Below are 14,242 nucleotides of genomic sequence, written 5' to 3' on the forward strand. Positions count from 1 at the left end.
ACATATATTCCATTAGTTCTGTCTTCCTAGACAGATCATGTGAGTTAATACTTAATAAACTCCTATATATATATATTCCATTAGTTCTGTCCCTCTAGAGAACCCTGAGTAATACATGTCTTACGGAGAGGTGTTTTCACTTCCTCCCTATTTCAGCCAGCCTTCAACCCAGTTTGGAGTAAAGTCTTGCCTCCTACCTCAGTTTCAATTCATTCCCTCCTCTTTCTGAGGCAACCACTCCCCTGTGGGTCACTTTTGAATGAAAGATGTCAATTACTGGCAGAAATCTTTGGGATGTGGCTAAAAAAGTGAATGCTGTCAGTAGGATATCACCAATAGGAGTTTCTCTCCTTTTTTAGGGGATGGTCACAACTTCATGAAAGGCTTTCTAGCTCTAGCTTGGAACGGACTTGGGTTCAGATTCTGACTCTGCTAAGCAATTGACCATGTGACCCTGGATGATTTACTTAAATTCCCTGTGCCTCAGTTTTCTCATACCTAGAATGAAAATAAAAATGGAACTTACAGGTTCGATGTAAGGATGAAATGAGTTAATTTACATAAAATGCTTGGCATAACTCATGGCACATAAAAAAGCTTGAAAAAATGTAAGTGATTTTTATGAGAACTTGAAAGATGAAGGAGGATATATTAGGAAGTGAATTGTTAGCTGTACAGAAAGTGTCATTGATTTTTTTTTTTAACCATGTCTTAAGATAGCTAAAGAGTGGGATTTTTATCAAGGGACATCAACAAAGCTCTAGGCTGACATTTGAAAGGGAAATTATTCAATTCAATTAAACAAATATTTATTAAGTGACTAGTATTTAACATGGACAGTAAGATTTCAATGTAATAGTAGGCAGACAAGTGAACAGCTATTCTGTCATTGCTGCTGGATGGTGCTGCCTCCTAGAATAGATGCTTATCTGGAGAGGAGGCTTTCCACATGGTTCATAATAAGGAATTGATCAAACATCAATAAAAACATCTTTCTAATTTGTAACTGACATAAAGCTGGCATGGTGAGGTGAATCCAAAAGATTATAACAAGCTGGAATTATAGACTAAAATTTTTAAAATGAGATTTAATATGGAGAAATATAAACTTCAAAAAGCAACTAGCCAAGAGCAGCAGGGTAACAGCAGGTCATTTGAAAAAGTCTTGAGGATTTTAGCAGATTTGGTGGAAGCCCTATTTGAGCTATCTTACATAGTTGCAGAAAATCCTGCAGACTTGCACTGTATTATTAAGAGAAACACAGTACCACAACCGATAAAGGTCTCATGGTATTCCCCACTGGCCACAGCACATTTTGTTCATATTTGAGGATAGCTGCTTAGAAGGATATTGACACATTGTAGTATCTAGAGGAAGGTGTCAGAGATGATATAAGAATGGAAACCATGACTTTATAGAAAAGGTTAATACGTGAAGGTGGCTTCATGGAAAGAAATATTGAGACTGAGGACATGGGAGGTGGCTTCATGGAAAGAAATATTGAGACTGAGGACATGGGAGGTGGCTTGGTATACTTTAAAATTTGTCACTTGGTTTTAAACTTTACAGGAGGTTATAAGATGACAAATTGAAAATGTCAAGAAGGGCATTCTAGAAATTATAAATAAAATGGTAAGAAAAGAGTTTCCTGCCACTGGATAAATCGAATGAAATGATTAACTGTCAGATAAATTGTAGAGAAACTTCTTGCATCAGTGGGATGAATGAAGACAGTTCTGACTCACACCCTCATCCTACAAATGCCCTAGTAGCAAAGTCTGTACCTGAACAGGCTGTGTAATTATTCTCCTCTGTGCTACGTGAGACAGAAGCATGTAGTTGACTTTATTATAATGGGATCTTTTCAATCTCCAAAGGGCATTGATTTGTTTTCTAGTCTGTATTTGCATTAATTTTTGCTCTTTAAAATAAAACCAATGACCACTTTATGTCTACTAAGATGGCTATAATGGTAATATATTTTTTAAACACAGAAAATAACAAGTGTTGGCAAGAATATAGAGAAATTAGAGCCCTCATACATTGCTGGTGGGAATGTAAAATGGTGCAGATGCTGCTGAAAACAACTGGACAGTTTTTCAGAGTTAAAGAATTGTCACATAGAATTCTCAACATGGAATTACCATGTAAACCAGAAATTCCACTCCTAGATATACATACCCAAGAGCATTTGAAAATATTCATGTACAAAAACTGAAAAAAAATTATGTATAAAAAAACTTGTGTAAGAATGTTCATAGTGGGATTATTTATAATAGTAAAAGTAGAAACAACACGTGTCCATCAATTAATGAATGTGTAAAGTTTGGTATACCCATACAACAGAATATCATTCAGCCATAAAAAGAAAGAAAGTACTGTGATGCTACAAGATGGACAAGCTTTGAAAACATGCTGAGTGAAAGAAGTCAGACACCAAAGGCCACATATTGTATGATTCCATTTGTGTAAGATGTCCAGAATAGGCAAATCCATAGAGATAGAAAGTACATTTGTGATTTCCAAGGGCTGGAGCAGGAAGGGAGCATTGGGAGTGATTGCTGTGGATATGGGTTTATTTTAGGAGTAATGAAAATGTTCTAAAATCAGTTTGAGGTGATGGTTACACAGCTTTGCGAATATACTAAAAACCACTCGGCTGCACTCTTTTCAATGGTGAATTTTATGTAATGTAAATTATATCTCAAAATCGTGTCAATGATTTGGAATAAGTAGAATTATGTTTAAAAAATTATGGCACTTTTCCATTTCTCTAACATTTCCAAAGGTTATAGAGGGTTCTGGCCCCGCCTTGCTCCCCTCTTAGCCTAGCTGTTTTACCACTCTGTACATTGACGTTTTTATAGATCTACATGAAGTGTGCAGTTATTCAAAACAACTTGTAACATAAACTATGACTATTCCTTCCCTGGAGATCTGGAGGCTGTTTTCTAATTTTTCTTCCCTGAGTTTCTTGTGGCTCTCGTACTGTGATTGCCATTGAGGTCCCCGCAGTTGAGAATGTGAGTGGCTCAGCAGGGAACTGCACAGAACTGGGGATACTTGCGAGCTGGGAACAACCTTAGGTGGGCACTGGTGGCCTCCAGAACGCAGATGAGAGAGCAGGGGATTCCAGGTAGAGGAAGAGAGATCACAAGCTGGTGTGGCTGGGCTCCAACTTTAAAGCTAAAATGATCAAAGATCCCCAAAATTTCAGAGCAAGAAATATGGGGAAGTCAACGTTATTGTGTGAATAACATCAGCCTTTGGTTGGTTGATGGATGGCTATTGAGTTTGGGGGTTCTTCTGTGATCTTATTAGTTGCTACAGATATTCTCAGTATCTCTTAGCACCTTGTAAACAGAGGAAAGAGAAGCCTGCATCTCCTCTCCTCAGCAGATAAACATCTGGGGACAGTGACAAAGCCCACAGACCCTGATGGTGTCTTTGATATACAGCCACAATACGCATTTTGACACCGAGTAGATGCTTTTAGATGATGAAATCAGTGGTTTGAATTGAGGCATTTGTGTGAAGTTCATGAGCTTTCATGCCATGATTGGCTTAAGTAATTCAGAACTAGCTGCGTGTGGGTGCCGTGGAAATACTCTTTCAATCTCTTTCTTATTGGGCCATTTTTGTGCAAAAGAAATTGCTGTTTTAATGGCAAAACCAGCAATTACTTTTGCACCTACCCAAGAGTTCATGGGATATTCAAAGCAATTTTCCGAACTGTATCCTCCAACTCGAGGCAGTTACTGTGAAACCACTAGATGGCACAGTCATGCTAGATGTAATCAAGACTTCAGCAGAAATGAAAAAGTGAGTCTTGCTAGATTACTTCATCAGATACTTAAGCTGTAGTTTACTTCCCCTCTCCAAAATTTTTCTACGTGTTAGTAATTTATGTCTTCCAGATCGTGTAAATACAGATGTGTTAGACTTAGTCATCTAAATCAATTGTTCAGTGACTACAGCCAAACTATAAAAAATGATTACTTCTCTTTGTTTTCAGTTCAAGTATTTTTACTATTCCTTTGCCACACATTTATTTTTCATACAGTTACATCAGCGCCCTGGGTCCCTTTTCTTTTGTACACATAGTGATAGAGAGGGAAATTACTCATCTCCAACGTCCTGGAAATTGTTTTCCAGCGCATAAATTTCCTAGCCCTCTGAAAGATGTCAATCATTTTCTTTAGCAGGGCATTAGGGAACTCCAGCTTTCCGAAAGATGTTAGGAAAGAAATGTCATGTCCGAAGACACAAAGTAAATGATTACTTTCTTCACCCAGCTTTATTTGTCATTTGTCTTAAAAAAAAAAATAGGAGAAGTGTTTTATTCACAGTCAGAGGCTAGGGCAGCAAGACAAGGCACGTTAGTGAGGCTGTAAATACCACTGTGTCCACGTTCACTTAACACAACGCCATCTCCCAGCGCAGCCCCAGCCCCTCTGCACCCCCCGCCCCACTGCACCCCTTAATGCCAGAAACACTCAGGCCCCCCGAAAGTTTAGTAGGGCTGCATTTAGAACAAGTCCAGAGCCAACAAAGGAAAATAGTGGAAGACACTTAGGAGGGAGAAGAGAGAAATGAAATTTATTTAGCCCGAGGTCCCCACGCCATGAATGTGGCCAGCAGGGGGCTTCTCGTGCGGACGCTCAAAGCCGGAAGAGCCAGCAGGCACGGAAGCCCTCGTGGGAGCCGGGAGTTCCATGGCGAGGCCCCCCGCTGCTGCCCCAAGAAACGCTTGGGTTTGAGATCTCAGGAAACACGGAGAGCCCCCACTGCGATGGTGACGGCCCTGGAGTGGGTGGTGCTAAGGAAAGGGCAGCACACCCTTGAGGGCGGGAAGTGAATGGGGTGAGAGTTGGCACTGCTGGCCATGTTTTCCTCCATTTCCTTATGGGACTCAGTTTCCTCAAAGGAAGAACCAAAATGAATAAAGTCTGATATGGTTTGGCTGTGTCCCCACCCAAATCTCACCTTGAATTGTAGCTCCCATAATTCCCACATGCAGTGGGAGGGACCCCCTAGGAGGTAATTGAATTGGGAGGGTGGGCCTTTTCCGTGCTATTCTTGTGATAGTGAGTAAGTCTTATGAGATCTGATGGTTTTATGAAGGGCAGTTCCCCTCCACACGCTCTCTTGCCTGCCTCCATGTAAGATGTGTCTTGGTTCCTCTTCGTCCTCTGCCATGATTGTGAGGCCTCCCCAGCCACATGGAACTGTGAGTCAATTAAACTTCTTTCCTTTATAAATTACGCAGCCTTGGGTATGTCTTTATTAGCAGCCTGAGAACAGACTAATACAGAATCTAGTTTTTTATACAAAGAGATTGAGAAACAGCCCTTGATTGTGCTGACAAGATTTTAGGAGCTGTTTATAAGCGCCCTACTGAGGACTCTGGAGATGATCCTTCATTCTAGAATTATAAGGTTAAAGTTGTTTGTTTGTTTTTTCTACTTGCCTAGTCCTTGGTGTATATAAAGAATCTTGTGGTACTTTGGTATTTATTAAGAGATAGAGAGTCTTTAATTTTTGAATACATTGGATCAATTTTTATATAGTATTGCATTTTTTATAACCCTTATTTACTTTTTATTTTTAAACCCCACCGTCTTCTCTATTCTCTTGACCCAGATGTCATGTAATAAGTTATGACATTATACATTTTCACCTTAGAGCTATGTTCTGGGGCTTGGCGCTCCTATTATTTAAAAAATGGTATCTTCTATGAGAAAACATGAATATTAAAGTAGACATGAATTTAGTTTTGTATAATTAAATTGAATCCCAGGATGGCAAAGATTTAAATATGATTTATACTTGGCATTAGTAGCAGCAAGTAATACTTGCTGCAGTAACAAAAAACCATTTCAGTGGCTTTGTACAATGAAGGTTTATTTCTCACTCTCATCACCATTCAACAGAGAGAGAGCCCTGCTCCATACATTCATTCAGGGATCCAGGCTCTTTCAAACTGGTTGCTCTGTCATCTTCTAGTACCATGGTTCCCTCTACCAATGCTTTGCATCCTATCAACAGGTGACAAAAGAGAGGGCAAATGGATAAATCACATTCCACTCAACCGCCTCAGTCTGAAGATGACATACATAATTTCTGCTTACATCCCATTCATAAGAACTAGTCCCAAGGACCTATCTCAAGAAGAAGAGAACATGGATATTGTTGCAAAGTATTCTGATATCTACCATACACACACGTTAAATCAAGTTTAGCCTAAAGCTGCCTCCTTACATATTCTAAATTTAGCCTAAAGGTTTCTCCCTATATGGTGAGCTATACATTAAATGGAGGTATAAACAGACTGTAACCTATTTCTGTGACAATCATTGAGTTTTGGCCAATCAAAGGGGGCCAACTGTTCAAGCCATGTTCAAATAAGGTAAATGCCAAGATGTAACCAATCCAGCTGTTTCTGCACCTCACTTCTGTTTTCTGTGTGTCACTTTCCTTTTTCTGACCATAACTTTTCCACCAGATGGCTGCGTTGGAGTCTCTGAGCCTACTCTGGCTTGGGAGGCTGCCCAATTTGCAAATCATTCTTTGTTCAACTAAACCGTGTTAAATTTAATTTGTCTAAGTTTTTTCTTTTAGCACACATGTGCCAGCAATACAAAGTTTGAGAAGATACTAAACTATTTGTTTCAGGGTGAGAAATGCCATGTCTCACTCCTTGATGTACTCCCCCAGAAGAATCCGCCCACTCATACCATACCCAGTCAGGAATAAGCAAAATATGGCCTTGGGAATTAACTTCCTATTTCCAGCATTTGTTTAAACTAAAGAATCTTGGTGAAGTGTTGACCAAGGGAATTTTAAAGTAAAACAGCATATTTTAAAAGTTGATTTAATCTAGTCCTTAAGAAAACAGGCTTTAAGTCCTTTGTAAATGTGGAAGCCAGCCTACAAGATGGCCCCCAATGATTCTGTTGCTGATATTCCACCCTGTGTCATCTCCTCCCACTTTGAATAAGGCTGACTTGTGCAGCCAATAGAATACTGTGAAATGAGAGAGTGTGATTTTTGAGACTGGGTCACTAAAGTCATTGCAGCTTCCCTTGCTTTCTTTTGGATTACTTGCTCTTGGGAAAGCCAGTTGCCACATTGTAAGAACACTCAAGAAGCCATGCAGAGAGGGCCACATGATGAGGAAATGAAGCCTTCTTCCAACAGCCGGCACCGACTTGCCAGCCATGTGAGTGCACCATTTTGGAATCAAATCTTCCACCTCTAATTAGGCCTTCAGATGGCTGCAGCCCTAGATGACTTTTGACTACAATTTCTTGAGACACCCTGAACCAGAACCACTCAGTTAAGCTGCTCCCAATTTCCTGATCCATAGAAATGGTGTAAGATAATAAATGTTTATCGTTGTTTTAAGCCACTAAATTCAGAAGTAATTTATTCCATAGGAACAGCTAAAATAAATACAGTATATCCAGACAATCTGTTCTCCTGTTGTGGGTTTTGGAATGGTGGGTTAACAGCAGACAAAAAGCAAAAGAGGGGACCCCCTGATCTTATCCCACCAATTAGAAATATATATGATTTAAATAGATTCGCTTTCTGCTTTTTAAAATGTTCATAAAAATACTGGCACTTCAACCAGATTAAGTTCATTACCATATAAATAACCCTAGCTAGATTGCTTTTCTTTTTGAGAAGAAAAGATCATTAACTTAAATAGAATATCATTTATTTAAATTTTCACAAGAACCATATGCTGGAGGTTATTGCCATGTTTACAGATAAGAAAATGAAGTCTTATGGAGTTTAAATAGTTTGACTATACTATAAATGGCAGAGTCGGGGTAGTACAATTCTAGAAGCTGCGTTTCATCCATATTGGTTCCTAAGCCTACCTGAAGTCAATCATTTTTCTCTGTGAAGAGTCGAGACCCCAAGAGGAGGGTAGAGTTAGTTTTGGAGCCTGGTACATGCTGGGCAAGGAGAGACCCAGGTTGCAGCTTGACATAGTTCAGTGCAGTTGAACAACTGTTTGCCAAACACTAATTTGGTAGCATAAATGCTTGTTAGGTCCTACTGGCTGTGGATTCTTGATGGTAATAACAATGACAGCAATGACAGCATGATGCCAACTGCATCTCAGATACTGTTCTGATATATTCACATGTGTTAACCCATTTTATCCTACAACAATCCATGGGTAGGAACTGTTATTGTCGCTATTTTACTGATGAGGCACTAAGGCAAAGAGAGATGAAATAACCTGTCCAAGGTCACCCACCCAGCTAGTAAGAAGTGGAGCTAGGACTCAAACCAGAGAGGCTGACTGCAGAGTCTATGTGTCTGACCTTTCCAGGTGGCTCGATTAATGAGTTAGGCCTGTCCTATATCTGCTGGCTTAGTGTCTACCCCACTGCTGTCCCTACTCCTCACATTCCTCATGTCTTGTTCTCCACCGGTGTCTTGCCGCTGCTCCGGCCCTTCCCACCGTTGCTGAGCTCACCTGCATGGATGCACTGTGTTCTACTGCTCTGTGGATGCACACATGGTGGCCAGTGTGTTCTTGGACCCCTGGGAGTCCTTGGGATATCTGTGCTTCCTGCTAGAGCTATAAGAGTGCTGAACAGGCAATTACCCCAATGTCCCTAACTTTGATGCAGCCCGAAGCAATCTTCAGAGACCGCCAAATAGTCTGAACTCAAGCAGGGCAGGGTCATTCTCAAGCTGTGATTTGTAGAAGAATCACCTGGTGTACCTACTTAAAATGCAGATCCCCAGGAACTGTGGGAAATTCTGAGCCTATGGGTTTGGGGTAGTGCTGGTTACTCTGAGGCAGGAAACTACCTCCAAGCCTTAGAAGACTCCCACAACAGGGAAATGCCCTCCTCTTCACATGCCCCCCTTGGAGGACTTACTCTCCTTCCCGGAGTTTTCATGTTTCAAGCATCGTTTTACGCCATCTTAATCCATTCAGGCTCCTATGCTGTAATGCCATAGATTGGATGGCTTATAAACAACAGAAATTTATTTTTCACAGTTCTAGAAGCTGAGAAGTCCAAGATCAAAGTGCTAGAAACTTCTGTGTCTGGTGAAGGCCTACTTTCTAATTCATGGATGGTGACTTCTCATTGTTCCCGCATGGTAGAAGGGGCAGGGTAGCTCTCTGGGGCCTCTAATCCTCCCAAAGGCCCCTTCTCCTAACGCCATCACCTTGGGGATTAGGTTTCAACATGCGAATTTTGGGGAGACACACTCATTCAGACCATGGTACATGTTTTCCATAATGACTGCCTCCTTCTCTCCAGATCAGGTGACTGGGTCTGGCCCCCACTGTGGCCCACATGCCCCTTTCTCACGATCAGTGATCTGTTGTCCTCTAGGGCCCCAGGCGAATCAGAGAAGATGGCTCAGACACCATCCCAGAGTGCCCAATTCCACTCAGTGGCTGCTGGGAGCAGCAGGCCAGGCCTGGATCACCAGCCCTACCCGTAAGGGCCTTAGTTGCTGGTAGACAGTCAGAAATGTAAGCAGATTATCAGTATCGAATGGAAAGAGCTGACAAAGAAGTATGAATTGGGTCCCATTGATGGCAGGGGCAGGCCTTCTGGAGCAGCCGCTGCCATCATGCTGGCTGCAGCAGGGAGGTGCGGCCAGGTATGCACACTCCATGGAGTCAGTGGGAACTGGGGACAAGCAGGTGCCCCACCCCTTCTAAGTTGGGGCAGGAGCTCCCTGGGTGCTGCTGCAGCCACCCAAGCCATGACTGTGGACCTGGGCATCCCTGTGCTCTTGGAGGGGCCAGGAGCAGGCAGGAACCCCACCTTCCCAGGCGCAGCTGCAGTTACCCAAGTTGCAGCTGTAGACCCAGGCCTCCTGCTCCATGGAGCAGGCAGGAGCCCCACCCCTCAGGGTGCAGCTGCAGCCACCCAAATCAATCTGCAGACCCAGACATCTCTGTGCTCTTGGAGGCCCATGAAGGCCAACCCTGCTCTCACAGGCTCCAAAATATCTGCTCCTGCTGCTTGGTTTCTCCCTGTTGTCAGTGCCTGCTCTGATCATGGAGCAAAGTCAGGGCTGAGTCCAGGGCTGTTACAGCCTGGCTGGGTGTGCACACGCTTAGGGCAGTGCTGACACACAAGGCCCCTTCCACCTTGGCCCCCTCTGGACTTTGGGTGCCAACGAGTATAGGTGTGAAGCCAAGGGGTGCTGAGGGCAGCTCGGCACTGGCCTACAGGTGCCCCTTGGCACCTACAGCCTGGCACCATAAAAATCGACAGGAGGCAGACAGGTTCCTTGGCGGAAGGGGGGCAAGTCCCTGGTGAGGCCTTACCTTCACATCAGGGAGGGCCTGAAGGCTGTGGGCTGGGCTGCCAGTCCCGCCAACTGGAGTGGGAACTTGTGGTTCCTTTTCCAGGCCCACCCATGGTCATGGGCCAATTGGCATTCACTTCTTCCCCTCTGTGGCTTATAAAAGCCCCAGGCTCTGCCAAAGCCGAGCAGACATCAGGATGACTTAGCTGTAGAGAGAAGCTACCCACTCAGGACCTCCTCTATGCTGAGAGCTGGGAAGATGATGGGACGACCTGCATGTAGACAGGAATGACCCCATCCAGTGCTGCCTCTGCTGAGAGCTGCAGAGATGATGGGATGACCTGCCTGCAGAGAGGAGCTTCTCACTCCAGGGTCTCCTCTGTGCTAGGAGCTGAACACTCGTTGGGATGCCCTGGCTGTAGAAAGGGCCTAACCCCTGCATGTCACCTCTAAGCTGTTCTATTGCTCAACAAAGCTCCTCTTTGTCTTGCACACCCTCCACTTTTCTGCATCACTCATTCTTCCTGGTTGCAGGACAAGAACTCAGGACCCATCAAATGGCAGGGCTAAAAGAGCTGTAACACACACAGAGTTGAAATATGCCCCTTGCTCACCATGTTGCAAGTGAAGAGAAGGGGAGAAGAGCTGTGGCCCTTCAGGGGGCCCAGACCTGTGAGCTCCCCGAGCCAGGGCTGTGATTCCCTCTCTGGAACCCTGTGGTTCCTGGTATCTCCAAGCTTCTGGGCACCATCGCAATTCCCGGTGCCATCAGGGGAAGCTGCTTGTGGTGTGCCTGGTCCAGCTGCAGCCTTGCAGAGAGCTGGCACCCATGCTGGCACCTGGAGCTGCGCGCATCATGGCAGCAGCCGGTGTGTCCAACTGCACAGTGGCTGGACCCCTCACTTGCTCACACAGCCCTCGCTGCTCCATGCCTGACTCACAGTCTCCCTTGGAGGTGTGGGATCCAGGGCGGTAGCATGAGCTGAGCACAGCCTACATGGCCAAGTGGGTGGAACAAACCCAGCAGGCCCAAAGCAAAACTCGGGCAAAGACACCACCGGCCACAGGTTTCCAGCAAGAAAAGTAACACCCCAAAGATCCCGTAACACCATCAGAGCATAGACAGGGGGCCTTTTGCTTAAAATGCCCAACACTCAGGGAAGTTTACCAAATAAAGTGATATGTGACATGGCTGTGAAACACTAGTAATAGTCTAGGCCACGGGCTGGCAAACTACATCCCCTGGACCACATCCAGCCCACAAGCTAACAATAGTTTTTACGTTTTTGAATAATTGAAAAAAAATCAAGAGAAGAAGAATATTTTACGCCATATGACAACATGAAATTCCAACTCTAGTTTCTATAAATCGAGTTGTATGGGAATACAGCCATGCTCATTTGTTTCTGAATTGTTTGTGGCTGCTTTTGTGAGTTGATTTGTTGCAACAGAGACTGTGTGGCCTGCAAAGCCTCAAATATTTACCGTCTGGCCCTTGACAGCAAAAGTGTGCCAACTTTTGCTCCAGATAGGAAGGTGCTCTGGGCAGAGGCACAAGGTGAGAAGACACATCCGTGGTATGTGCATGGAGCTGCCTGCTTTAAGCAGTGTTCTCAGAGGAAGGAGGGTGAGGAAGAGGACGTTGGACAGCAAGGCCGAGGCAACCAAAGGGGCCATGTGGTCCGGAGAGTGATGGGCCTTGCTTAGATGTCGCTCCTGTGTAATCAGGAGCTCTGGAAAGCAGGGAGACGCAGCAATAAGAACTGAAAGCTAAAGCTGAGGAGGGGAGGGGTGGCAAGTTGGCCATTTAACAGGCTGAGGGGAGGGAGGCCCAGAGGTAGAAGAGAGAAAAGCCAGGAAGGGTGAAGAAGCTCCGCGTGTTGGGTAGTTTTGCAGAGGATGAATATGTAGGTGCAGTTGTGCCAGGCGCTACTGCCATGTCCCCACTGCCATTCCAGTCACTCGGTTCCTATGATGAAGTCTCATCTTCATTATTTATTGTCCAAGTCCACAATGAGGATTTCCAGTGGGAAGTTACCCTTTTGGATTTTCTCAGATCATGAAAAATATGATTGTGTACCTACAAGACACTTATAACCAGTGAAGTGCCATATAAATGTCAGCTGTTACTGATCAACTGAGGCAAAATTAGGGGTAGGTCACTGCAGGACAGTTTAGATGGTTAAATGTTGTCTTTTCTTCAATACTTACTACTATTTGCAGTTTATTCCAGAGGTTATTCTTGATTCATGCTGTGTCACTCCTTATGTGACTTTCCGTATAAAATTGTCGCCATGAGTTATTAGTTAGGCGAGCAGTTTAATCATTTCTCACCATTTGTCTCTGTTCAGGGAGAACTAGCATAACTATCATGCATTTAATGAACTCTCTAGATAATTATACTCAATGTCTTGCAGGAGGTGGGGGAACTAAAGATCCAGGGCTAACTCTATTCTTATATGGTAATTAATCACTTGGACAATCTTCCAGTAAAAGAGGCACGAACTTTAGTTCCTGCAAAGGCCAGGAACTGAGGGAGGGGAATGAGGAAGGATGGAGCACTTTAGAGAATCTTTCTAACCTCAAGTACACCCAGGGAGCACTGAGTCTTGGGCATTACAACGAGAAAAATGATTAAGAAGCCACAGCAAATGCTCTCTCAGCGCTATTTTGCTTTTATTTATATTTGGGGGGAGGAATGAAGTCAGAATTATTTTTAAATAAGAGAGATGATAAAAACCAAACCATTAAAAGTCACTGATTAAATATTCATAACACAGTCCCACATCCTTAGCAGGCATCCTGGGAGGTGGGATGTCTTCCTGTGATTCAGGGACGGGACATCCATCTCACCTGGAGTCAGTTTGCTGGTGGCCATCTCAGGTCCCAGCCACCCCACGTCTCAAATTAACCATCCTTGGGGCTGGACCACTGCCCACCATGTTCATATTCCTTCACTTTTTGGGCTTTCTTTTCAAACCATGGCCACAAATGCAGTCTTAAGTTTGCTGAACTTGTCATTTCCCCTAAAAGAGCAAAATCTCACCGTTTGTTTTATTTCTGGGAGGACAGAGGTGAAAAGCAGGCCTGGAGTGGTGGCCATAAACCCATGGCTGTGGGCTGCTCTGAATAGAGTAGGGGAGGTGGGAGGGAATATTATATTTCCACTGGCCATGAAAAACCACTAAGACAGAGCAACTCCCATGACCCTTCCCACCACAATTAAAAGGGGCAAAGTTTTACAAGCTCAGTTTACTGTGGAAGACGGTTCCAGTCTCAAAGTAGATTCTAGCCATGCATGTGAATTAACAAGAGATTAGACAGAGAGCAAAAGCTATGAAAGTACACTTAGAACCTTTCTCTTCTTAATCGTGACCTAAAAGTAGGAACGGCTGCCTATTTTGAGGGGCCGAGTGCAAAACAAAAATGCAGAGCCCCCCTGTTCAAAATTTAAGAATTCTATACTCAAGAGAGCAGAGCATTAAACCCAAAGCATTAAACCATTCTGGAGCTCTGCGCAGCTACATAGATCACATGCTCATGGAAGTTCAAGGCACCTTTTTTTTTTTTTGAGATGGAATCTTGCTCTGTCACCCAGGCTGGACTGCAGTGGCATGATCTTGGCTCACTGCAACCTCCACCTCCCAGGTTCAAGCAATTCTCCTGTCTCAGCCTCTCAAGTAGCTGGGACTACAGGTGCATGCCATGACGCCTGGCTAATTTTTGTATGTTTAGTAGAGACAGGGTTTCACCATATTGGTCAGGCTGGTCTCGAACTCCTGACCTCAGGTGATCCACCCACCTCGGCCTCCCAAAGTGCTGAGATTACAGGCATGAGCCACTGTGCTTGGCCAAAGCAACTTTCCAAATGTGTCTAATTTACACTAAAAGAGTTCATTCACTTACTAAGAATTTGTCTTGTCTAAGTAGAGCAAG

General features: G+C 43.9%; 3 annotated features.

Annotated features, from left to right (window-relative positions):
- Window positions 4,263-4,831: an enhancer, noted in NCBI's record as "H3K4me1 hESC enhancer chr6:150739968-150740536 (GRCh37/hg19 assembly coordinates)". NCBI's record gives its function as "activates a minimal SCP1, AML or CMV promoter by ChIP-STARR-seq in primed H9 embryonic stem cells {active_cell/tissue: H9 hESC(primed)}" and the evidence as "EXISTENCE:reporter gene assay evidence [ECO:0000049][PMID:30033119]".
- Window positions 4,524-4,818: an enhancer, noted in NCBI's record as "tiled region #9409; HepG2 Activating non-DNase unmatched - State 4:PromP, and K562 Activating DNase unmatched - State 4:PromP". NCBI's record gives its function as "activates a minimal TATA promoter and a strong SV40 promoter by Sharpr-MPRA in HepG2 and K562 cells {active_cell/tissue: HepG2 | K562}" and the evidence as "EXISTENCE:reporter gene assay evidence [ECO:0000049][PMID:27701403]".
- Window positions 4,832-5,398: an enhancer, noted in NCBI's record as "NANOG-H3K4me1 hESC enhancer chr6:150740537-150741103 (GRCh37/hg19 assembly coordinates)". NCBI's record gives its function as "activates a minimal SCP1, AML or CMV promoter by ChIP-STARR-seq in primed H9 embryonic stem cells {active_cell/tissue: H9 hESC(primed)}" and the evidence as "EXISTENCE:reporter gene assay evidence [ECO:0000049][PMID:30033119]".

This window comes from Homo sapiens, chromosome 6 (genome assembly GCF_000001405.40).
Source record: "Homo sapiens chromosome 6, GRCh38.p14 Primary Assembly".
Lineage (NCBI taxonomy): Eukaryota > Metazoa > Chordata > Mammalia > Primates > Hominidae > Homo > Homo sapiens.